At 40.5% G+C, this 24,401-nt stretch overlaps 1 protein-coding gene across 5 annotated transcripts in view; it reads right to left on the minus strand.

Annotated features, from left to right (window-relative positions):
- SCN11A (sodium voltage-gated channel alpha subunit 11) overlaps nucleotides 1-24,401 on the minus strand; it is a 206,181-nt gene that overhangs the window by 87,439 nt on the left and 94,341 nt on the right. The window contains exons 5-9 of one of the 5 annotated variants that reach the window (XM_047447378.1): nucleotides 23,405-23,455; nucleotides 20,427-20,557; nucleotides 16,894-17,167; nucleotides 13,587-13,705; nucleotides 12,209-12,310 (exon numbers count right to left, since the gene is read on the minus strand). In XM_047447378.1, the coding sequence (XP_047303334.1) occupies nucleotides 12,209-12,310; nucleotides 13,587-13,705; nucleotides 16,894-17,167; nucleotides 20,427-20,557; nucleotides 23,405-23,455 (677 nt within the window). Of the gene's footprint in view, nucleotides 1-12,208; nucleotides 12,311-13,586; nucleotides 13,706-13,840; nucleotides 13,885-16,893; nucleotides 17,407-20,426; nucleotides 20,558-23,404; nucleotides 23,456-24,401 lie in introns of those variants that run through there. The other 4 variants (NM_001349253.2, XM_017005651.2, XM_017005650.2 and 1 more) reach the window with 4 other exon arrangements.

Here is a 24,401-nt window from a genome sequence, read left to right on the forward strand (position 1 = left end):
CCACACCAAAAACCCATCTGTACATCACCATCATCAAAGACCAAAAGTAGGTAAAACCACAAAGATGGGGAAAAAACAGAGCAGAAAAACTGGAAACTCTAAAAGGCAGAGCACCTCTCCTCCTCCAAAGGAACGCAGCTCCTCACCAGCAACGGAACAAAGCAGGACGGAGAATGACTTTGACGAGTTGAGAGAAGAAGGCTTCAGACGATCAAACTACTCCGAGCTACAGGAGGAAATTCAAACCAAAGGCAAAGAAGTTGAAAACTTTGAAAAAAATTTAGACGAAAGTATAACTAGAATAACCAATACAGAGAAGTGCTTAAAGGAGCTGATGGAGCTGAAAGCCAAGGCTCGAGAACTACGTGAAGAATTCAGAAGCCTCAGGAGCTGATGTGATCAACTGGAAGAAAGGGTATCAGTGATGGAAGATGAAATGAATGAAATGAAGCGAGAAGGGAAGTTTAGAGAAAAAAGAATAAAAAGAAACGAACAAAGCCTCCAAGAAATATGGGACTATGTGAAAACACCAAATCTACGTCTGATTGGTGTACCTGAAAGTGACAGGGAGAATGGAACCAAGTTGGAAAACACTCTGCAGGATATTATCCAGGAGAACTTCCCCAATCTAGAAAGGCAGGCCAACATTCAGATTCAGGAAATACAGAGAACGCCACAAAGATACTCCTTGAGAAGAGCAACTCCAAGACACATAATTGTCAGATTTACCAAAGTTGAAATGAAGGAAAAAATGTTAAGCGCAGCCAGAGAGAAAGGTCGGGTTACCCACAAAGGGAAGCCCATCAGACTAACAGCAGACCTCTCGGCAGAAACTCTACAAGCCAGAAGAGAGTGGGGGCCAATATTCAACATTCTTAAAGAAAAGAATTTTCAACCCAGAATTTCATATCCAGACAAACTAAGCTTCATAAGTGAAGGAGAAATAAAATCCTTTACAGACAAGCAAATGCTGAGAGATTTTGTCGCCACCAGGCCTGCCCTAAAAGAGCTCCTGAAGGAAGCACTAAACATGGAAAAGAACAACCGATACCAGCCATTGCAAAATCATGCCAAATTGTAAAGACCATTGAGGCTAGGAAGAAACTGCATCAACTAATGAGCAAAATAACCAGCTAACATCATAATGACAGGATCAAATTCACACATAACAATATTAACTTTAAATGTAAATGGACTAAATGCTCCAATTAAAAGACACAGACTGGCAAATTGGATAAAGAGTCAAGACCCATCAGTGTGCTGTATTCAGGAAAAAACCCATCTCATGTGCAGAGACACACATAGGCTCAAAATAAAAGGATGGAGGAAGATCTACCAAGCAAATGGAAAACAAAAAAAGGCAGGGGTTGCAATCCTAGTCTCTGATAAAACAGACTTTAAACCAACAAAGATCAAAACAGACAAAGAAGGCCATTACATAATGGTAAAGGGATCAATTGAACAAGAAGAGCTAACTATCCTAAATATATATGCACCCAATACAGGAGCACCCAGATTCATAAAGCAAGTCCTGAGTGACCTACAAAGAGACTTAGACTCCCACACAATAATAATGGGAGACTTTAACACCCCACTGTCAACCTTAGACAGATCAACGAGACAGAAAGTTAACAAGGATACCCAGGAATTGAACTCAGCTCTGCACCAAGCGGACCTAATAGACATCTACAGAACTCTCCACCCCAAATCAACAGAATATACATTTTTTTCAGCACCACACCACACCTATTCCAAAATTGACCACATAGTTGGAAGTAAAGCTCTCCTCAGCAAATGTAAAAGATCAGAAATTATAACAAACTGTCTCTCGGACCACAGTGCAATCAAACTAGAACTCAGGATTAAGAAACTCACTCAAAACCGCTCAACTACGTGGAAACTGAACAACCTGCTCCTGAATGACTACTGGGTACATAACGAAATGAAGGCAGAAATAAAGATGTTCTTTGAAACCAACGAGAGCAGACACAACACACCAGAATCTCTGGGACACATTCAAAGCAGTGTGTAGAGGGAAATTTATAGCACTAAATGCCCACAAGAGAAAGCAGGAAAGATCCAAAATTGACACCCTAACATCACAATTAAAACAACTAGAAAAGCAAGAGCAAACACATTCAAAAGCTAGCAGAAGGCAAGAAATAACTAAAATCAGAGCAGAACTGAAGGAAATAGAGACACAAAACACCCTTCAAAAAATTAATGAATCCAGGAGCTGGTTTTTTGAAAGGATCAACAAAACTGATAGATCCCTAGCAAGACTAATAAAGAAGAAAAGAGAGAATAATCAAATAGAAGCAATAAAAAATGATAAAGGGGATATCACCACCGATCCCACAGAAGTACAAACTACCATCAGAGAATACTACAAACACCCCTATGCAAATAAACTAGAAAATCTAGAAGAAATGGATAAATTCCTCGACACATACACCCTCCCAAGACTAAACCAGGAAGAAGTTGACTCTCTGAATAGACCAATAACAGGCTCTGAAACTGTGGCAATAGCTTACCAACCAAAAAGAGTCCAGGACCAGATGGATTCACAGCCAAATTCTACCAGAGGTACAAGGAGGAACTGGTACCATTCCTTCTGAACTATTCCAATCAATAGAAAAAGAGGGACTCCTCCCTAACTCATTTTATGAGGCCAGCAGCATCCTGATACCAAAGCCAGGCAGAGACACAACCAAAAAAGAGAATTTTAGACCAATATCTTTGATGAACTTGGATGCAAAAATCCTCAATAAAATACTGACAAACTGAGTCCAGCAGCACATCAAAAAGCTTATCCACCATGATCAAGTGGGCTTCATCCCTGGGATGCAAGGCTGGTTCAATATATGCAAATCAATAAATGTAATCCAGCATATAAACAGAACCAAAGACAAAAACCACATGATTATCTCAATAGATGCAGAAAAGGCCTTTGACAAAATTCAACAACCCTTCATGCTAAAAACTCTCAATAAATTAGGTATTGATGGGACGTATCTCAAAATAATAAGAGCTATCTCTGACAAACCCACAGCCAATATCATATTGAATGGGCAAAAACTGGAAGCATTCCCTTTGAAAACTGGCACAAGACAGGGATGCCCTCTCTCACCACTCCTATTCAACATAGTGTTGGAAGTTCTGGCCAGGGCAATTAGGCAGGAGAAGGAAATAAAGGGTATTCAATTAGGAAAAGAGGAAGTCAAATTGTCCCTGTTTGCAGATGACATGATTGTATATCTAGAAAACCCCATTGTCTCAGCCCAAAATCTCCTTAAGCTGATAAGCAACTTCAGCAAAGTCTTCAGGATACAAAATCAATGTACAAAAATCACAAGCATTCTTATACACCAACAACAGACAAACAGAGAGCCAAATCATGAGTGAACTCCCATTCACAATTGCTTCAAAGAGAATAAAATACCTAGGAATCCAACTTACAAGGGACGTGAAGGACCTCTTCAAGGAGAACTACAAACCGCTGCTCAATGAAATAAAAGAGGATACAAACAAATGGAAGAACATTCCATGCTCATGGATAGGAAGAATCAGTATCGTGAAAATGGCCATACTGCCCAAGGTAAGTTATAGATTCAATGCCATCCCCATCAAGCTACCAATGACTTTCTTCACAGAATAGGAAAAAACTACTTTAAAGTTCATATGGAACCAAAAAAGAGCCCACATCACCAAGTCAATCCTAAGCCAAAAGAACAAAGCTGGAGGCATCACGCTACCTGACTTCAAACTATACTACAAGGCTACAGTAACCAAAACAGCATGGTACTGGTACCAAAACAGAGATATAGATCAATGGAACAGAACAGAGCCCTCAGAAACAACGCCGCATATCTACAACTATCTGATCTTTGACAAACCTGACAAAAACAAGCAATGGGGAAAGGATTCTCTATTTAATAAATGGTGCTGGGAAAACTGGCTAGCCATATGTAGAAAGCTGAAACTGGATCCCTTCCTTACACCTTATACAAAAATTAATTCAAGATGGATTAAAGACTTAAACGTTAGACCTAAAACCATAAAAATCCTAGAAGAAAACCTAGGCATTACCATTCAGGACATAGGCATGGGCAAGGACTTCATGTCTAAAACACCAAAAGCAATGGCAACAAAAGCCAAAATTGACAAATGGGATCTAATTAAACTAAAGAGCTTCTGCACAGCAAAAGAAACTACCGTCAGAGTTAACAGGCAACCTACAAAATGGGAGAAAATTTTCGCAACCTACTCATCTGACAAAGGGCTAATATCCAGAATCTACAATGAACTCAAACAAATTTATAAGAAAAAAACAAACAACCCCATCAAAAAGTGGGCGAAGGACATGAACAGACACTTCTCAAAAGAAGACATTTATGCAGCCAAAAAACACATGAAAAAATGCTCACCATCACTGGCCATCAGAGAAATGCAAATCAAAACCACAATGAGATACCATCTCACACCAGTTAGAATGGCAATCATTAATAAGTCAGGAAACAACAGGTTCTGGAGAGGATGTGGAGAAATAGGAACACTTTTACACTGTTGGTGGAACTGTAAACTGTAAACTAGTTCAACCCTTGGGGAAGTCAGTGTGGCGATTCCTCGGGGACCTAGAACTAGAAATACCATTTGACCCAGCCATCCCATTACTGGGTATATACCCAAAGGACTATAAATCATGCTGCTATAAAGACACATGCACACGTATGTTTATTGCGGCACTATTCACAATAGCAAATACTTGGAACCAACCCAAATGTCCAACAATGATAGACTGGATTAAGAAAATGTGGCACATATACACCATGGAATACGATGCAGCCATAAAAAATGATGAGTTCATGTCCTTTGTAGGGACATGGATGAAATTGGAAATCATTATTTTCAGTAAACTATCGCAAGAACAAAAAACCAAACACCGCATATTCTCACTCATAGGTGGGAATTGAACAATGAGAACACATGGACACAGGAAGGGGAACATCACACTCTGGGGACTGTTGTGGGGTGGGCGGAGTGGGGAGGGATAGCTTTAGGAGATATACCTAATGCTAATTGACGAGTTAATGGGTGCAGCACACCAGCATGGCACATGTATACATATGTAACTAACCTGCACATTGTGCACATGTACCCTAAAACTTAAAGTATAATAATAATAAAATAAAAAACAAAAAAGAAGGAAAATGCATGAACTAAACATTCAAATTCATATTTTAGAAAATGTTATGTCCTATTGAATGTATAATGAAGAAAATAAAAGAAGGCAGAAGGAAAAATATCATATATATATATATATATATATATATATATATATATATATATTTTTTTTTTTTTTTTTTTTTTTTTTTTTTTGAGACAGAGTTTTGCTCTTGTTGCCCAGGCTGGCGTTCAATGGCATCATCTCTGCTCTCTGCAACCTCTGCCTCCCAGGTTCAAGCGATTCTCCTGCCTCAGCCTCCTGAGTAGCTGGGATTACAGGCATGTGCCACCATGCCCGGCTAATTTTGTATTCTTAGTAGAGACGCGGTTTCTCCATGTTGGTCAGGCTGGTCTTGAACTCCCGACCTCAGGTTATCTGCCCGCCTCGGCCTCCCAAAGCGCTGGGATTACAGGCGGTGAGCCACGGCGCCCGGCCAAAAATATTATATTTTTAAATAGAATTTAAGGCCAGGTGCTGTGGCTCATGCCTGTAATCTCAGCACTTTGGGAGGCTTAGGCAGGCGGATCACTTGAGTCCAGGAGTTCAAGACCTGGGCAACATGGCAAAACCCCATCTCTACTAAAAATACAAAAATTAGCCAGGCGTGGTGGTGCATGTCTGTAATCCCAGTCACTTGGGAGGCTGAGACACAAGAATCTCCTGAATCCAGGAGGCGAAGGCTGCAGTGAGTAGAGATTGCTCCACTGCACTCCAGCCTGGGCAAGAAAGCGAGATTCTGTCTCAAAAAATACTAATAAAATAAAAATAGAATTTAATACATAAATAGAATTTAAGATATAGTTTTAGAAAAACATAGAATTTAAGACAAATAGAATTTAAGACATAGTTATAGAAAAACTATAGAATAGTTTTTAAAATGGAATTTAAGATATAGTTTAAAAAAACATAAAAATAGGCAAGCCTCTGGCAATTCTAATCACAGAAAAAAGAAAACATATGAACAAAATGATAAATGAGAAGAAGAATATAGCAAAATATTCAGAGAAATTTTAAAACTGAAAAAGATTACCAATGAAAAATGAAAAAGCTATTAATAAATGAATTCCTTCCCATTTCACTAATTCCTTATATCCCTCTCCAAAAGATTTGCAGATATAAATCACTTTACTGGATAATTCTCTCTTTCTTTCTCCCAGAATACCTCATTTCCATGCTATTAAAAACATTTCAAGGCCGGGCGCAGTGGCTCTTGCCTGTAATCCCAGCACTTTGGGAGGCCGAGGCGGGTGGATCATCTGAGGTCGGGAGTTAGAGATCAGCCTGACCAACATGGAGAAACCCCATCTCTACTAAAAATACAAAATTAGCCAGGTGTGGTGGCGCATGCCTGTAATCCCAGCTACTCTGGAGGCTGAGTCAGGAGAATCGCTTGAACCCGGGAGGAGGAGGTTGTGGTGAGCCAAAATCGCGCCATTGCACTCCAGCCTGAGCGACAAGAGTGAAACCCCATCTCAAAAAAAAAAAAAATTTAATACATGGGAAAGATGGGGAGGAGCCATACAAGTCATCAAAAGAGTAAACAAATGCTGACAACAAATTTTATCAAAAATAGCACACAATTTTATATATATATAAAATATTGATATGTATAATACTGATGTACATACATATATATATATATATATAGTTTTATATAACAAGGCAACTAGTTACAAGGCATAATGAAAGAAAAGACCACATTTATAATGGCAACAAAAAACAGTAAAATTCACAAACAAATTTAACAAGAATTGTGGAAGATCTGTATGAAGAAAACTTTAAAGCAATTAGAGGAACACAAAAGAAGATTTTAACAAATGAAAAATATGTCATGTTCTCAATGAGTTCCAACCTCATAAAGATGTCAGTTTCCTCTAGGTTAATTTATAAATCCTTTCATCATGTCAATAAAACTAACCAAGTTGACTATAAAATTTACATGAAAAAATCAACAAGAGCCATAAAAATTCTCAAAAGGAACCTCTAGCACTCCTAGACATTACAACATTAGACAATCTTGATAGTTAAAAAGTGTGGTTCTGGCATATGAAAACGCAGACCAATGGAAGAGAAAAGAAAGTCCAGAAATAGATCTGAATACCTAAGTAACATTTCACATCAGAGGATAAGAGGTGGACTATTTAACAAATGGTGTTGGGACAAATGGATAGACATCTGGGACGGAACTATGAAGTCAGATCTATTTATGACACCCTACCCTTGAATGAATTCCAAATTATTCAAGGATTTAAATTTTTAAAAAAGGAAACTATAAAAGCACTGTAAGAAAATATGAGAGAGTCCTTTTATAACTCAAGGCTAGAGAAAGTGTTTCTAACTATAAATCAAAATCCACGGGCATAGAGGAAAGTTTGTTAAATTTAATAAAGGAAAAGAAAAAAATAATAAGCAAAATTAAGAGACCATTGATGCCTGCTTCAATTGTGATGAAGACATGAAGTAGCTGGGCAAACCCTCCCACAGATAATGAGTATTAAACTGGAAAATATATATATAAGGACAATTATTTGAAGGCCCTGGAAGGTAAACAAAAGGAGGCAGAAACTGGGGCAGAGTTTCCCCTTAAAAGAAGGTACCTGCAATGCATAAGAATTATGAAAATGTTTAACTGTTTTGGTCTGAGAGTGTTTTCCAACTTCCCCACTCCCACCCCAACACTGGCAAATGGCTGCAGTCCTGAAGATTTAAGGTGGCCGAGGGTGGGGTTCAGAGCTGGCAGAGCAGCTGGAAATTTAGGGAGGAAATCCTGGAAGCATGCAAGAGAGAGCTAAGCAACAGGAGGCATAAAACATGGAAATGACATACTTAAAGTGCTAGAAAAACAAATTGTCAAGCACTGATTCTATATACAATGAAACTCTACTTCATAAATGAGTATGAAATAAAGACATTTTCAGATCAATATAAACTGAGAATGGGTTGCCAACAGAACTGAACCACAAGATATATTAAAGGAAGTTGTTCAGGCTAAAAAGAAATACTACCAAAAGATAACTTGGATCTACAGGAAAAAAAATGTCTTTAAAAGGCATGTGCCCATTAAAAGCAAAAATGATAAACTGTATTGTTGGGTTTATTGTGTACATTAGCATAACTATATGATAAAAAACAAACAGGGGACTAAACTGTGGCATGGTTCCTGTTTCACTTGAAGGAATTCAACGTTAACTCTATTTTGCCAATTTAACAATGCATTGTTTAATATGTGAAGAAACCACTAAAAAATGCAAATAGGTAAAGCTAAAAGGCCAGCAGAGGATTAAAATGAAATACTAAATATACATGATTAACACAAAAGGAAGCAGGAATGGAGAAATAATGGAGTAGCAAAGGAACAACAACAATGACAAAAAAAAAAAGAGATAAATAGAAAACCAATAGAAAAATAGCAAAGCAAAATCCAATTATATAACTATATTAAATGTAAATGAACTTTAGTCATCAAAAGTCAGAGACTGGATTGATAGACTGCATAAAAAGCAAAAACCAACTATATGTTGTTTACAAGATATACGCTACAAATACAAAGACACAGAAGGTTTGAGAGTAAAAGAATGGAAAAAGATATACCATGCAAACAAAGAGCTTAAGAAAGCTGAAGTAGCTATATTAATATTAGACAAAACAAATATTTAAATGAGTATTATTAGAGACAAAGAAGACATTCCATAATAATAAAAGAATGAATACATCAGGAGGATAATAATAATCATCGTAAATATGTATGTACCTGATAATAGTGCTTCAAAATACACAAAGCCAAATTTGACAAAAAGAGAGAAAGAACAGACAAATCCACAATCATAGATAGAGATTTCAAGCCTCTCTTTCAGTAATTCATAAAAATGCTAAGTAAAAATCAGTAAAGGTACAAAAGATCTAAATGACACTATCAACCACCTTAACTTAACTGACCTTTTAAGGAGTATTTAAGAATGTGGCAGAATCCACATTCTTTCCAAGTGCATGTGAAACATTTCCCAAGATAGACTATAAAAGATGTTTCTCTTTATTTCAAAAGATTGAAATTTTACAGAGTGTATTCTCTGATCATAACTGAACTGAAATTAGATAATAATCAGACAACCAGAAAACAACTAGAAAGGTATAAAATATTTGGAAATATTAAAAAACACACTTCTAAATGACATATGGGACAAAGAAGAAATCATGAGAAAATGTAGGGAATATTTTGAACCAAAAGGTAATAAAAACACAGTGTATTGACATCTGTGGAATGCAGCTAAAGCAGTTCTTGGACAGAAATGCATAGCTTTATACAATTGTATAAGAAGAAAAATCTAAAACCAACTATTTAAGCTTCCAACTTAAGAAGCTAGAAAAAGAAGAGCAAATTAAAATCAAAGCAAATTGAATGAAAAAATTAATAAAGACTTTGAAACTTTCATATATTGCTGATATGAATGTAAAATTATGCTGTCAATTTGAAAAAGGTTTAGCAGTTTATTAGAAAGTTACATATATACTTATCGCAGGGCCCAGCAATTACACCTAGGTATTTATCCCAGAGAAATGCAAAAATATCCACAAAAGATTTTTATACGGAAGTGTTCGCAGCAACTTTATTCATAATAGCCCTAAACTGGAAATAATGCAAATGTGCATCAATAGATAAATGGGAAAACTATATCCATTCAATGGAATCCAACTTAGCAACAAAAAGAAAAAAAAAATGTAGAAATATACACAACAACATGGATGCATCTCAAAGCATTATGCTAAATGAAAGAAACCAGATACAAAAATATAGTATCATACATAGCATATGAAATGTATACGAAATTCTTAAAAAAGGCAAAACAAGTCTAGAATGACAGAAATGAGATCGATGTTTGTCTGGGGTTGGGAGTGGGAATCGGGGATTAACTGCAAAGAGGCATGAGACGTTTTGGGGGGTAATTGAAATGGTCTATATATCGATTGCAGTGGTTTATATTGCATAATTAAATAGGAGTTAGAAAAAATGGTCTCATTTATTCAATTTGCATTCAATATGTTCCTGAAAGATTAAAGCAGTAATTATGTTAAACTAGAAAAACTGGAACTTTTGATAAGAAAATATTTATACAAATATAGAACTTTTAAGTTAAAACATTAATTCATATGTCTGAAAAGCCAATGCAAATGATAAAAAGTTAATATTTTGGTTATACAGAGAACTCAAACTGATTAGAAAAGAAATAAAAATGATACAGAAGCAAAGATGGAAACACACAATTCAGAAATGAAAACATTAAAAGAGTCTAAATCAAATATTTCATGTTGTCATTCATATATGGGAACTGAAAAAGTGGATCACATGGAGGTAGAGAATGGAATGGTGGTTACCAGAGATGGGGAAAGACTGGGTGAGAGGTGAGGAATGGAGAGAAGTTGATTAATGAGTACAAAAAACAGACAGAAAGAATAAATTCTAGTGTTCAATAGCACAGTGGGATGACTATTTAGTTAATAATAATTTATTGTATATTTCAAAATAGCTAGAAGAGAAGATTTGAAATGTTTCCAATACAAGGAAATAATAAATGTCCAATTGGGATTGATATCCCAATTACCCTTAAGTGATCATTACACAGTGTATGCATGTATCAAAATATCACATGTACCCTGAAATGTGTACAATTATTATGTGTCAATTAAAATTGTTTTAAGTCTAACCCATCTGGAAATTAAAGAAATGCTAATATTTTTAACTCCATAAATTAGAGAAGAAAAAATTTAATGCTAGCAAGAATGTGATATAATTGGTTATTAGAATACACTGCTGATGGCAGAGCAAATTGATACAAACTTTTTGGAAAACATTTTGTCTATATATATCATTAAAAGCATTAAAATGTACCTTTTTATCTAGAAAATCCATTTTTTTTTTTTTGAGACAGAGTCTCACTCTGTTGCCCAGGCTGGAATGCAGTGGCTCACTGGGCTCACTGCAAGCTCCGCCTCCCAGGTTCATGCCATTCTCCTGCCTCAGCCTCCCGAGTAGCTGGGACTACAGGCACCCGCCACCACGCCTGGCTAATTTTTTGTATTTTTAGTAGAGATGGGGTTTCACCATGTTAGCCAGGATGGTCTTGATCTCCTGACCTCGTGATCCACCCGCCTTGGCCTCCCAAAGTGCTGGCATTACAGGCATGAGCCACCACGCCCAGCCTAGAAAATCCATTTCTAAGAGTGTATCTCAAGAAAATAATAATTTAAGAATAGGGCTGCGTGCAGTGGCTCACGCCTGTAATCCCAACACTTTGGGAGGCCAAGGTGGGCAGATCACCTGAGGTCAAGAGTTCAAGACCAGCCTGGCCAACATGGTGAAACCCTGTCTCTACTAAAAATACAAAAAAATTGGCTGGGCACGGTGGCAGGCGTCTGTAATCCCAGCTACTTGAGAGGCTGAGGGAAGAGAATCGCTTGAACCTGGGAGGCAGAGGTTGCAGTGAGCTGAGATAGTGCCATTGCACTCCAGCCTGGGCAACAAGAGCAAAACCCTGTCTCAAAAAATAAAAAAAAATAAAAAAAGAATAGCTTTATTTTTGGCATAGTGAACTCCCATAACAATTTTTTACAAACAAAAACAAAGAATAAGTAAATACATAAATACAGCTTTATGCAAAAAGATTTTTATGACAATGTTACAATCTACTAAAATGCTAGAGTGGTGAAGTACATTATGGTTTATTCACCTGATAAAATATTATATAACCATCAAAATGGATACCTATAAAACTTATGTAAACACAAAGAAAACCACTTAAAATGTGAACATATGTGTGCTGTTCATTACAAATTGTAAAAAAATAAAGGTCAAAAATAAAACTGATTCTGCCAACATATGTGTTAGAATTATTAGTGACTTTTTCTTTCTCTCCAGTGTAATCATTAACTGTCTTAGGTATATTTGTTTAAAAACTTAGGACAGGTGAGTGAAGGAAAAATACTTACTCTGCAATGTCAGTATTGTTACTGTTGCTGTTTTTAGCAGGCCCTGTAGCCATGAACACGCAGTTGATGATAACGGTGCCGATAATGAACATGCTGAACAATGTGGCCAGCATCCATTAAGGCAGATATGTTGCAGGATGGCATGCATCATTAGCTACTGGGTAAGACTGGGGGTGCCCCTGATGGTCCCCTTTTCTGCAGGTGCATCTATCTTCTGACTGTGAATGTTGGATGAGAACAACTCACAACTGTCCCCTCCTGTGGAGAATTGTCCCCTGCTGAATGGCAGCCTCCTCACTTGGAGAGCTACACACCCCCTTCTACATGTCTGACTGACTTAGGCCCTTGCTTCAAAGTGGGACAATTCTGTGGTGCAATTCATGCTCCAGAGTTCTTCGTGGGATCAGAATGAAGGTGACTCAGCTGAGACCATATCCTTGCTTGGCTCTTTGTTTTCCCCCCTTCTGCTTCCCTTTCTCCTTCTCCAGAAAGCACTCCTCTGTTAAATCACTTAAATAAGAATGCCCATATCAGGCTCTGCTTCTAGGGAACCAAACCCAAATAGTTATTCATTGCCATTCTCCTCAATATTTTACTAAATCTACCAACCCATATCTTTTTCTCATTTCCCTGTCTAAAACTTCCTAGTGTCTCCCCCAACCCTGGCATACAGCAGAAATGCTTAATAATTCCTACCTGCCTTTACATTTTAAGACTGACATTGCAAACCCTAAGTTTTAAGAGCCTGAAAAGGCATATAAATGGGTAAAATGGGCTGGTGTTCAGCCACAAGAGGGGTGCAGAGGTGGTGAGACAGAGCTTACATGCCCCCTCCAAAGAGGCAGCAATTCCTTACTCTACCCATTTTTGTCAGGTATTAACAGAAATGGGAACCTACCCTTGCCAGTTTCCATCTTTCAAGAAAAGCTGGAAATCTGGAGTATTCATGTTAGAAAGTGTTTTTCAAAGTTTTAAATACTGTGTAGGTCCAACACAACACATTATCAACTCAATATACTGCACAGGTTGCCAGTTTACAACTCTTTAGGTGTCAGCTTAGATGCACCTTCCTCTAAGAAGCCATCCTTGATGCCTCTAAAGCACAGCAGTGCCTCTCCCTGCTACCACTTTCACACGACCAATCTCACTAAAGAAGTTGCCTGCCTTTTAGTCTATGCCCTTCTGAGGCCATAGGACCCCAGAGAAGGAGACGACATCTTGCTCACATCCAGCACAGTCCCTGCCTGCAGCAGTAGGCACTCAGCCAGTATTTGTAGAAAGAATTAGCTATTTGCTTCCATCCAATAACATGAACACCGTGGGGCACGTGCACTTTTCAAATGATCTGGACTTAGTAAAAGGTGCAATGAAAGGATATGAATGGACTGAGACTCTAATGGCTAAACTTCTGATTGAATTGAAAGGCCCAAAAATGAACAAGGCATGCTTGGCACTGAAGCGGTAGATTGTCCTCTTTCTGTTTAACACCATAAATGTCTGCAAAACAAAAAAAACAATACAAGAAAACACACACATACACAACAGGAATTAAATGCAGTGACAAAACAATATTTATCATGAATTCATTTAGAGAAAATTATAACATAAACTGTTGGGCTGTGGAATATTTACCCAATGGGATACTCCAGAAGAATCAGAGATGGAAAACACAGGACCTGAAAATACCAAAATTAGGAGTATAGAGGAATAACTGGGGAAAAGAAAACCCTTAATATTGTACTCCATGGTACGTATCAACGGGGAAAGGGACTAGAAGAGAACTTGAAGAGGCAGAAATTGAGCTTGGACATTTAGATTCAGCAGATTATTTTAAATTATTTTGATTATTAACGAAAACTTTGCAATGAATCTTAGAATAAGTGACCTAAAGGGTCCATGTTTGCTATGCCACAGGTCTGAGAAATGCTGTGTGAAATAACCAGTCAATTCTAACCTTGATGATCTTCAAGAAAAAAGTCACCAAGTTTCCTGGATTTGCTCTTTCTTTACCTCTGTGGACATAGGGGCAAATTTCCCTGTGGTTCTTAACCAGCAGGGGAGGTGGGCATTGCCCCTACAGAAGGCATTTGGAAATGTGTGTGAGTATTTTTGGTTGTCTGCTGTAATGACTATGGGCTCTACCGGCCTTTTACTGGGAAGACCCAGGGATGCCAAACAGGACAAACTTGCCAATGGTACATTATGCCCGCCCCCCCACAAAGTGCCCAGTGGAGTCCCATTAAAGAACACTGAACCTCTGCCCATTTTCTCCTAGCATGACTCCCTGGGCACTGGGAATGAAGCAGCCCCTGGACAACAACCTGTCACTAACATGCTTCTAACATCCACCTCCAGACCTCCCTTTTTCCATGTAACTGTAATCTAGCTGTCCCCATATCTGTCCCCATGGCTATCAGTTACAAAAGCCTTCAGAAAGTAAGAGTCATTCCTTTCTCCCCAACTGATGGCTCCTTTCAGATTTGCAAAAAGTACTACTTGGCCATGTAATACAGCATGTTCTCAGGCAGGAGAGACAGACCTCGGCACCCAGGCCCAACGTTAGCACTGTGAGTGCTACCTTGGCTCAGGTGCCAGAACGTCAGCCACTGCCAACCATCAACCTTCCTTTAATGAGCTGCTGGGATTGACTGGTCTGATGGTTATCTGGCTGCAGGGAAAACTGTGCTAGGGTATTTTTCTTTGCCCCCATAATAATGAAATGAGCCACGGGGTTTTTTAAAAATATGAGCCAGGAGCCCAAGACCTGCTTTGGAAATTCTGCGCCTTTCCTTTGAACAGACATACAATTTTGGGGCAGAAACAAACCTCTCTTTGAGATGAGTCACCCCACATTAATAAGTGGTACAATATGGCTCTCCTTCTGTGCCTTTGATTTTGATATTTTATTGATGCCTCTTCTTACTGCTTTAAATATTTTAACTAATGGTGTATTTAACTCTACATGCCAGGGTTTTAATGATTAAAATGATAGGTACTAGCTCCTCCTGCCTGCTTGCTGACACTTCTCTACTTCTTTCCCCTGTTGCTCTTCAAAATGGGGCTTCCAAAGAGAAGTAGCCTGTGATGATAAAAAGCACCCTTGGGTTTGCATCCTAGCTCCACCACTCACTGGCTGCTTGACCTGGCTTAAGCCACTTTCCCAGCTAGGCTCTGGTTTCCTCATCTGTAAGGTAGAGTGCTAATCATGATCACACATACCTCACATGACTGTTGAGGGCACTGGTCATGTGAGATCATGGGTGTGCAGAGCTCTAAACAGATATCGTGTCTTCTTATTTAAAGTGAGGACCCAGGCTGAGAAGTGGTGGTCCTAGAATTACCACCCAGGCTGGAATAGTCCTGTTCTCCCGGACTGTCAGCTGCACACCAAACTGCTGCCTGACTCATGCGTCTCCTCTCCAGCATTGATGCAGAAGGAGACCTCTACAGTTAACTCACCTCCAACAACTATACCTCCAAGAAGGCCCTGGAATCCTGGGGCATCAGAAAAAGGAGAAACATTGGAGTGTTTTTGCTCCTTCAATTCTTTCCCCCTTGCTTGTCCTTCCTACTTATACTCTACTTTCCTCTGTATATGTGGTCCTCATTTGGCCTGGCAACTCTAAGTCTATCCCAATTGAAGTACATGCAAATCAGGCAATCTTTCTTTGAAAGGTCAGTTTCTTATGGATGCCAGCCAAAGATGCTCTCAGCATCCCATATTTTCTAGGGCTTCCCCAAACCTCCCAGCCTCCTAGGTCTCTAACCTCAGTATGGCAAGGTGGGGTTTCCAACCTCTGCTGGATCACACTGCGAGGTGATGATGGCAAAATCTTCTGAGCCTTTCCTGAAAGGGCCAAGTGTGCTCACAGCCTCAGGCTCTAGAGCAGTCATGTGGGAGCTCAAAGTTTACATTCCCTCACTCGGGAGCCCCTTCAAGAAACCTTTACTAGAATTTCCCTGCAAGAACTGCATCCAGGCAGATAAAATAGCAAGGCTTTCACATATTTGCATTGAGTTTACATAGAATCTGCATGTGCCCACTTGGTTACCATTTTCTTAGGTTTCATTTATTGAGCTCCTACTATGCATCAGTTGTTGGTTTGAGCCCTATTAGTCTCATTTAATAGCCTAGAAAGCCTATTATCCAAGAGTTTTTAAGGTAAAATCTTGTTGCTATAATGAGCATTTCTGGACCATGATATTAATCCTTTGTATCAGTATAATGCATTATAGTGATAAAGTGCTTTCCCAGCATGTCTATGCTCTAAGGTAGGAACATCAGGCATTATTTCTATTATACAGATTTTAAAAGTGAAGATTAGTAAAGTGACTTGCCCAGAGTCATAAAGCCAATCAATTGAAATGGCCTGTATCTAACTTCTGGGACTACTAGTCCAGTCCTCTTTCCAGACTTCATTTTGTGTTTTCTCTGTTTTCCTTTTATCCTTTTGCAGTCCCTCATCCTCATCTTCTCCTCTAATACATGCATTGCAGAGAAAAAATGAGGACTGAAAGGGGTTTTCAGGACTATCAAGGCAATGCCAGGGGATGACAGCAAAGAAGAGGCACAGCCTGCCTGCTATAAACCCTAAGAGTGGTGTTTGGAGAACCTGTAACACCAGTTACAACTGCATGGTTAGAACACCCCCACCCCCACCCCCCCCCCCCGCCCAATGAAGTACCTTATGATTTCGGTAGAATGGGTCCAAGTCTTCCAGAGGCTTTCCTATGAGCTCACGAGGAATGTCGCCATAGAGCTTGGGCAACTTCCTGGAGGCCTTTAGGTCAAGCTGAGGCCGAGGCTGGGGTACTTCTCCTGTCTGGTCTTTAGACTTCTTTTTCTCCTTTTGGATGGCAATCCGCTTCTCAATTGCAGCCAGAGAGTCGGAAGTGAAGGGGCGGAAATTCCGCTCATCTGGAAAGATTACTGGGTAGCATCTGTCATCCATCTTCACCCTCAGGACAGAGACAAGCCACAGATCCTCAGAAAGGCCTCAGGAGGCGGGAATAAAACAGCCTGCCCTAGGATTCCAGTCTTAAAGGATGGTGTCATAAGGATCTACAAAAGCTGAGCTGAGGTCAGGGGCCTTGGGAGCTGATTGGCTGTGAAGATCAGAAGAGATGACCACCACTGTGGGTATAGCAGGAACTTTTGGCATAGACAAAACCAAAGCAGGGCATCATTCCTGGAGGACCTGGCAAAAGGCGGGAAGTTGAGTTCAGGAACAAGTGAGCAGAAGAAGCCCAGTCTCTAAAACTGAGACCCAGACATTAAGCAAGACAATAAGGCTGAGCCGGCTGAACTGCTGAAGTGGGATCTGCAAGTAGCAGGCAAGTGGCCACATGGCCCAAACAAGAGAAAAAGGAACAGGGAATTGACTGGGCCATAGTTATGGATTGCAAAAGCAAAACTGAAAGTGCATGGGTCTTTTCTCACATCCAGTCAGTAAAGTTCTTAAAATGTGATGAAATGGGAACAAAAGAGCCATAAACATAGGCATGAACTGCGACCCCCATGCCGGCTCTCTCACTTCTAGGACTTCGACCCTAAGAAAGTGAGAGGTGACAGCGTGCTGGCAGTCCTCACAGCCCTCGCTCGCTCTAGGCGCCTCCTCTGCCTGGGCTCCCAATTTGGCGGCACTTGAGGAGCCCTTCAGCCCACCGCTGCACTGTGGAAGCCCCTTTCTGGGCTGGCCAAGGCCAGAGCCGGCTCCCTCAGCTTGCAGGGAGGTGTGGAGGGAGAGGCGCGAGCGGGAACCGGGGCTGCACCCGGCGCTTGCGGGCCAGCTGGAGTTCCGGGTGGGCGTGGGCTTGGCGGGCGCCGCACTCGGAGCAGCCGGCTGGCCCTGCCGGCCCGGGCAGTGAGGGGCTTGGCACCCGGGCCAGTGGCTGCGGAGGGTGTACTGGGTCCCCCAGCAGAGTCGGCCCACTGGCGCTGCACTCGATTTCTCACCGGGCCTTAGCTGACTTCCCGCGGGGCAGGGCTTGGGACCTGCAGCCCGCCATGCCTGAGCCTCCCACTCCCTCCATGGGCTCCTGTGCGGCCGGAGCCTCCCCGACAAGCACCGCCCTCTGCTCCACGGCGCCCAGTCCCATCGACCGCCCAAGGGCTGAGGAGTGCGAGCGCATGGCGCAGGACTGGCAGGCAGCTCCACCTGCGGCCCCGGTGCGGGATCCACTGGGTGAAGCCAGCTGAGCTCCTGAGTCTGGTGGGGACGTGGAGAGTCTTTATATCTAGCTCAGGGATTGTAAATACACCAATCAGCACCCTGTGTCTAGCTCAGGGTTTGTGAGTGCACCAATCGACACTCTGTATCTAGCTGCTCTGGTGGGGCCTTGGAGAACCTTTGTGTCTATACTCTGTATCTAACTAATCTGATGGGGACGTGGAGAACCTTTGTATCTAGCTCAGGGAATGTAAACGCACCAATCAGCACCCTGTCAAAACAGGCCACTAGGCTCTACCAATCAGCAGAATGTGGGTGGGGCCAGATAAGAGAATAAAATCAGGCTGCTGGAGCCAGCAGTGGCAACCCGCTGGGGTCCCCTTCCACACTGTGGAAGCTTTGTTCTTTTGCTCTTTGCAATAAATCTTGCTACTGCTTACTCTTTGGGTCCACACTGCTTTTATGAGCTGTAACACTCACCACGAAGGTCTGCAGCTTCACTCTTGAAGCCAGCAAGACCACGAGCCCACCAGGAGGAATGAACAACTCCAGACGCACTGCCTTAAGAGCCGTAACACTCACCGCGAGAGTCCGAGGCTTCATTCTTGAAGTCAGTGAGACCAAGAACCCACCAATTCCGGACACAAAAGCAGAAAGGGTTTGTTAATAGGGTTACTCTACCATAGGATAATAGCTTCTTTGAGGACTTTCTCTACAGCCACAGGGTTCAAACTAGACACTGAAAAGAAGCAGTAGTATTCAGGTTGAATGCCTATTTCCCCATGCCAGCCATCCTCTTTCTTTCTTATTTACTGGATGCTAATCTAGGGCTGACTCTTACACCCACTCCAGGAAATTATAGTAAGAAACCCAACATATCACTGGTTTGTTCCTTCAACAATTATATGCCCTGTGTCTGTTCTAGGCATGGTGCTAGGCACTAACGGTGAAGAAACACAGTCCCTGGTCCAACAGTTACACTGTCCTGGAGTAGTAGAAAAGACAAAGACAGGAAACTAAAATAGAACAAATGCTACTACAGAGAGAAGTAGTGGGGCTATGTCTATGCATAGGATAGGTGTCTCATCATAGGATAGGCGTCTCAACAGGGAATCAGGGACTGTTGTCCAAACCTTTAATGTCTAAATTGAGACCTGAAGGAGATGTAAGACTTAGGACAAGAGAAAAAGGGGGACACTAGGATGCTCCAGGGAGAGCAAATAGTGTGTACAGGAACCCTCAGCTGAGAAAGAACATGATGTCCAGCAACTGGTTCTGTTTGCCAGGAATGGGGATTTCATGGAGTGGAATGGCCAATAGGGCTTTACTCAGCAGAGGGAGAGAGTGGGCAGGCCTGTAATCTTTGGTAAAGATCATGGACTTCCCCTGAGGGTAATGGGGAATTACTAAAGGTTTGGGTTTTCATTGCTGTTGTTGTTACTGCAGAGGCGAAACACTATCAGATTTGTTTTTTTTTGTTGTTGTTGTTGTTTTTTTAAAGAAAAGCCACTCTAACTATTGGGAATTGGCAGGGATATGGATGGAGCTGGAAGGCCCTTAGCAAACTAACTCAGGAACAGGAAACCAAATACCACATGTTCTCACTTATAAGTGGGAGCTAAATGATAGAAACTCATGGACACATAGAGGGGGACAACACACACTGAGGCCCATGGGAAGGTGGAGGGTGGAAGGAAGGAAAGGATCAGGAAAAATAAGTAATGGGTGCTAGGCTTAATACCTGGGTGACGAAATAATCTGTACAACAAACCCCCATGACACAAGTTTACCTATGTAACAAACCTACATGTGTACCCCTGAACTTAAAATACAAGTTAAAAAAAAAAAGTCCCTCTAACTGTTGGGGATTGAAAAGGCTTGAGATAGGAAGATAAAGGGGAGGCTAAAATCAGAGAAGTGAGCTTGGAAACTCTTGTAGCAAATCAAATTACAGGGGATGATCTAATGACATGCATGGATTTGAGAGTTAATAAATAGCCTTGACATGAGATTAATGGGAAGAGAGAGACTTGAGGGATGGTCCTTACCGAGATTCCTGGCTTGAGCAGATGAGAGGACAGTGTGGCCACTCACTGAGACAGAGAGTGCAAGAAAAGGAGGGCACTGCGAGGGAATAAATTTGGTTTGCAACACACGAAGCTGAAGCTGCCTGGGGAACCTGCAAGTGGAGAGAACCAAAAGGCACTCGAATATAGGGAAATCATAGTTCACACATGTCAGGCTCTGAAAACAGCGTGAAAGCAAAGAAATGTAGCCAAAATTTCTCTTGAAACTCCCTCAGGAAGGCACCATACTGAAGAGGCATCCCAATTCATTACTTAAACGAGTTCAATACAACCAGCTTTTCTTCCAGGGCCAGAACCAGACACTCTTTCTTCAGGTTAGCCCCAAACAAAGTAGTTGGATTGTGTTTCAGGGCCATGATAAAGGCAATGTATGATCCTTCAAGTATACTATGATTAGGGCAAGCAATGATAATACTGTGAGAGCCATATGTCAGCTGAAACTGAATGTAGGACTGTAGATTCATCACTGTCTGTCCCACATTCATCCAGAGTCAAGCTCATTATTGATAGGTCTGGATGATGGAATTCCCCGCACTATTTCAATTTCCCCCTCCTCATGAACATGTGTAATTGAATTTGTATGAATGAAGTGGGCATATAATGAGACTCTGCTGCATTTGACTCTAGAGCTCAAGAAAGACATTTAATTCAGAGCATAAGTCTTTTGCAGTGAACACAATATGGATGCTAGTCAATCCTGTAAAATGGATGCGCTGTGAAAGACCCTGGATGGTAAAACCTGGACCCTATGCTCAGTTACAGCAAGGAGTCCAGTGGCAGGTGCTGCCATCCTAATGGGGCGATTAAAGAAGCAACTGGACACTTTCACCCTGCCATTTTGACTCTGGGAGATATTTTGCCTGGGTTCTTAAGAAAGAGAAACTTGCTAAAAATAAATATAACACAAAATAAAACTGACAACCCCTGAAACTGTACACAGTAAAATTTGTTATAGATGATAAAAAAACAAACAAACAAACAAACAAAAAAACAAAAAAACACACACACACCTAAAGAACCACATCTTAAAAGTAACATTGGCCAGGCACAGTGGCTCATGTCTGTAATCCTAACACTGTGGGAGGCTAAGGCAGATGGATTACCTGAGGTCAGGAGTTTGAGACCAGCCTGGCCAACATGGTGAAACCCTGTCTCTACTAAAAATACAAAAATTGGCTGGGAATGGTGGCATGCACCTGTAATCCCAGCCACTCGGGAGGCTGAGCAGGAGAATCAGTTGAATCCAGGAGGCGGAGGTTGCAGTGAGCCAAGATTGTGCCACTGCCCTCCAGCCTGGGTAACCCAGCCAGACTCTGTCTCAAAAAAAGAAAAGAAAAGAAAAGTAACATTGAGGCCAGGTGCAGTGGCTTACACCCACTGGGAGGCCAAGGCAGACAGATTGCTTGATACCAGGGGTTTGAGACCAGCCTGGCCAACATGGTGAAAACCCATCTCTACTAAAAATGAAAAATTAGCTAGGTGTGGTGGCGTGTGCCTGTAATCCCACCTACTCAGGAGGCTGAGGCACAAGAATCGCTTGAACCAGGAGGTAGTGGTTGCAGTGAGCTGAGATCACTCTACTGCACTTGAGCTTGGGCCACAGAATGAGACTCTGTCCCAAAAAAAATGAAAGTAATATTGAAAACTGCAAAAATTGACCCAGGAAAAGGAAAACTGAATAAAAATTATGAACTCAAATAAATCTGACAAAATAAAACCACATGCAGTATGCAGTAAAATTTCCTTATTAACTGAAAAAACAATTAATGGAAGAATCAAGTATTCTTTAATAAGTAAACTCAGGAAAATTCGACTGTGAAAATCAAGGCTGCATCCACAAAATAGATAAAATTGATAAATTAATAGAAAATCAATATGGCACAAGCTGTAATTGGTAAAATTTGAAATGACTCAAACCCTTATGGTGAAATTTGTACAGAAATACTTAATTCTGAAAATTTTCTGTGCAGAAAATAGATTGCATTGCTAGAAAATTGATCAAAGAATTAAATTAGCTAAGTGCAATTATTTTCCAAGTCCTGCTAACAAATTTGAAGATAAAATTTTCAGATTCTGAATGACTCTTTACAAAAAAAATTACTTGAGTATATACTCCCAAACAATGAAAAGAGAATTCAGAAAAGCAGGATGCATGGAATCCAAGACATTATGTCCTTAACCGAAGAGTGCAATAAAATATTTCTGGTCAACCACACATCAATAGGCTTAAGAAGCAATTGCTCAACCACCATGGCACATGTATACCTATGTAACAAACCTGCACGTTCGGCACAAAAGCCCGGGTATGGTGTCTCATGCCTGTAATCTCAGCACTTTGGGAGGCTGAGGCAGGCAGATCAGGAGGTCAGGAGTTTGAGCCCACCCTGGCCAACATGGTGAAACTTCATCTTTACTAAAAATACAAAAATCAGCCAGGTGTGGTGGTGCGTGCCTGTAATCCCAGCTACCTGGGAGGCTGAGGCAGCAGAATCACTTGAACCCTGGAGGTGGAGGTTGCCATGAGCCAAGACTGAGCCATTGTACTCCAGCCTGGGTGACAGAGGGAGACTCCGTCTCAAAAAAAAAAGCAAAAACAAACAAACAAAAAGAAGCAATTGCCCTGACAGAAAAGTCAGAGAATCCTGGGAAAAATATTTAAACTATAAAGAAAATTTTATGTAACAAAAAATATGTTTCAGAAAATGGTTTTTCCAAATGTTAAAAGAAAGGTAATGAGAAATTCCATCAAAATAAGACGTACTTCAAAAGTAATGGTTTATAGACAAAGCCAACTAAATGATTTGAACCCTGATACCCTGCCATTTTGACAGGAACCTTGGTAAGGAACATCCTTCAGTATAACAGGAAAAATAAGATAATTCATTTGACCTTGACCTTGAATGTGCAGCAGATAGTAACATCAGGGTCCATTCCTTTACCTTTATTATGGGTCCAAATATAGTACAGTTCTTGGTTCCGGAAAATAGTAGCTACAAAATTATGATATAATTCAGGTTATCTATTAGTTTTTAATTTTCACAATCATCCTAAAGATAAAGCAGAATTAATTATAATTATAGAGTAGATTACAAATGCTATAAATGTTATAAAATTTTACTACAAGCTGAAGTCGGAGAGAAAAAGTGAAGGGAAGATTAAAGATACCAATTTTCTCACCTTAAACATTTAGAGAGTCAAGACACTCTATGAAAGGTTGGTCAAGCCATACAAAAATAAGTTTATACCTTAAAATTACACAGATAAGTACAAAACCAAATTTTAAATACAGATAACAAAAACTGGAAGAATCATGGGGAGCCCAGAAGGATTACCATCAATAAGCTAAATTCCTCATCTCCCATAGGGACAATTCAAAAACTTCTACTCAAACTGTATAAATCAAGAAATAGCAGTGTAAGCTAATTTAAAGTTAGAGAGACCCCCTACAAATATATACAATGATTATTTTGTCAATTGAAAATTAAATAGTCCCTGGGCATAGTAGTTCAAAGAAAAAAATAAAACTTAAAAAAAAATTAAAGAGAGAAAATGACCAGAATTAAACACTAAAATGGTTAAAAGTGGGACTGAGCATAGGTGAAAGTGGAGACATTTTACTTTTAACGTTATATCCTTCTCAACATTTTCTCCTTCTAAGCTATTTGAATTATGTGCTTGTGTTACTTTTATAGGTTGCAAAAGGATTGTGAAAATCCTTCAGGGGATGAAAACATCTTCTGATTCAAACTAGAGAGACAAGATATCAAGCACGACAGGCTCCCAATCCCCTTGGGCCATGAAGGAAACAAGCAGAATCTCAACTTGCATGCAGTCTTAAACTGGGAGGCCGGCCACATGCGGGTTACGACTTGACGTGGGGAATGACAGAGCCTGGGAGAGCAGTGAGGAGGCCCTGCAAGACCTTCATGAGCCCAG

This window comes from Homo sapiens, chromosome 3 (genome assembly GCF_000001405.40).
Source record: "Homo sapiens chromosome 3, GRCh38.p14 Primary Assembly".
NCBI lineage: Eukaryota > Metazoa > Chordata > Mammalia > Primates > Hominidae > Homo > Homo sapiens.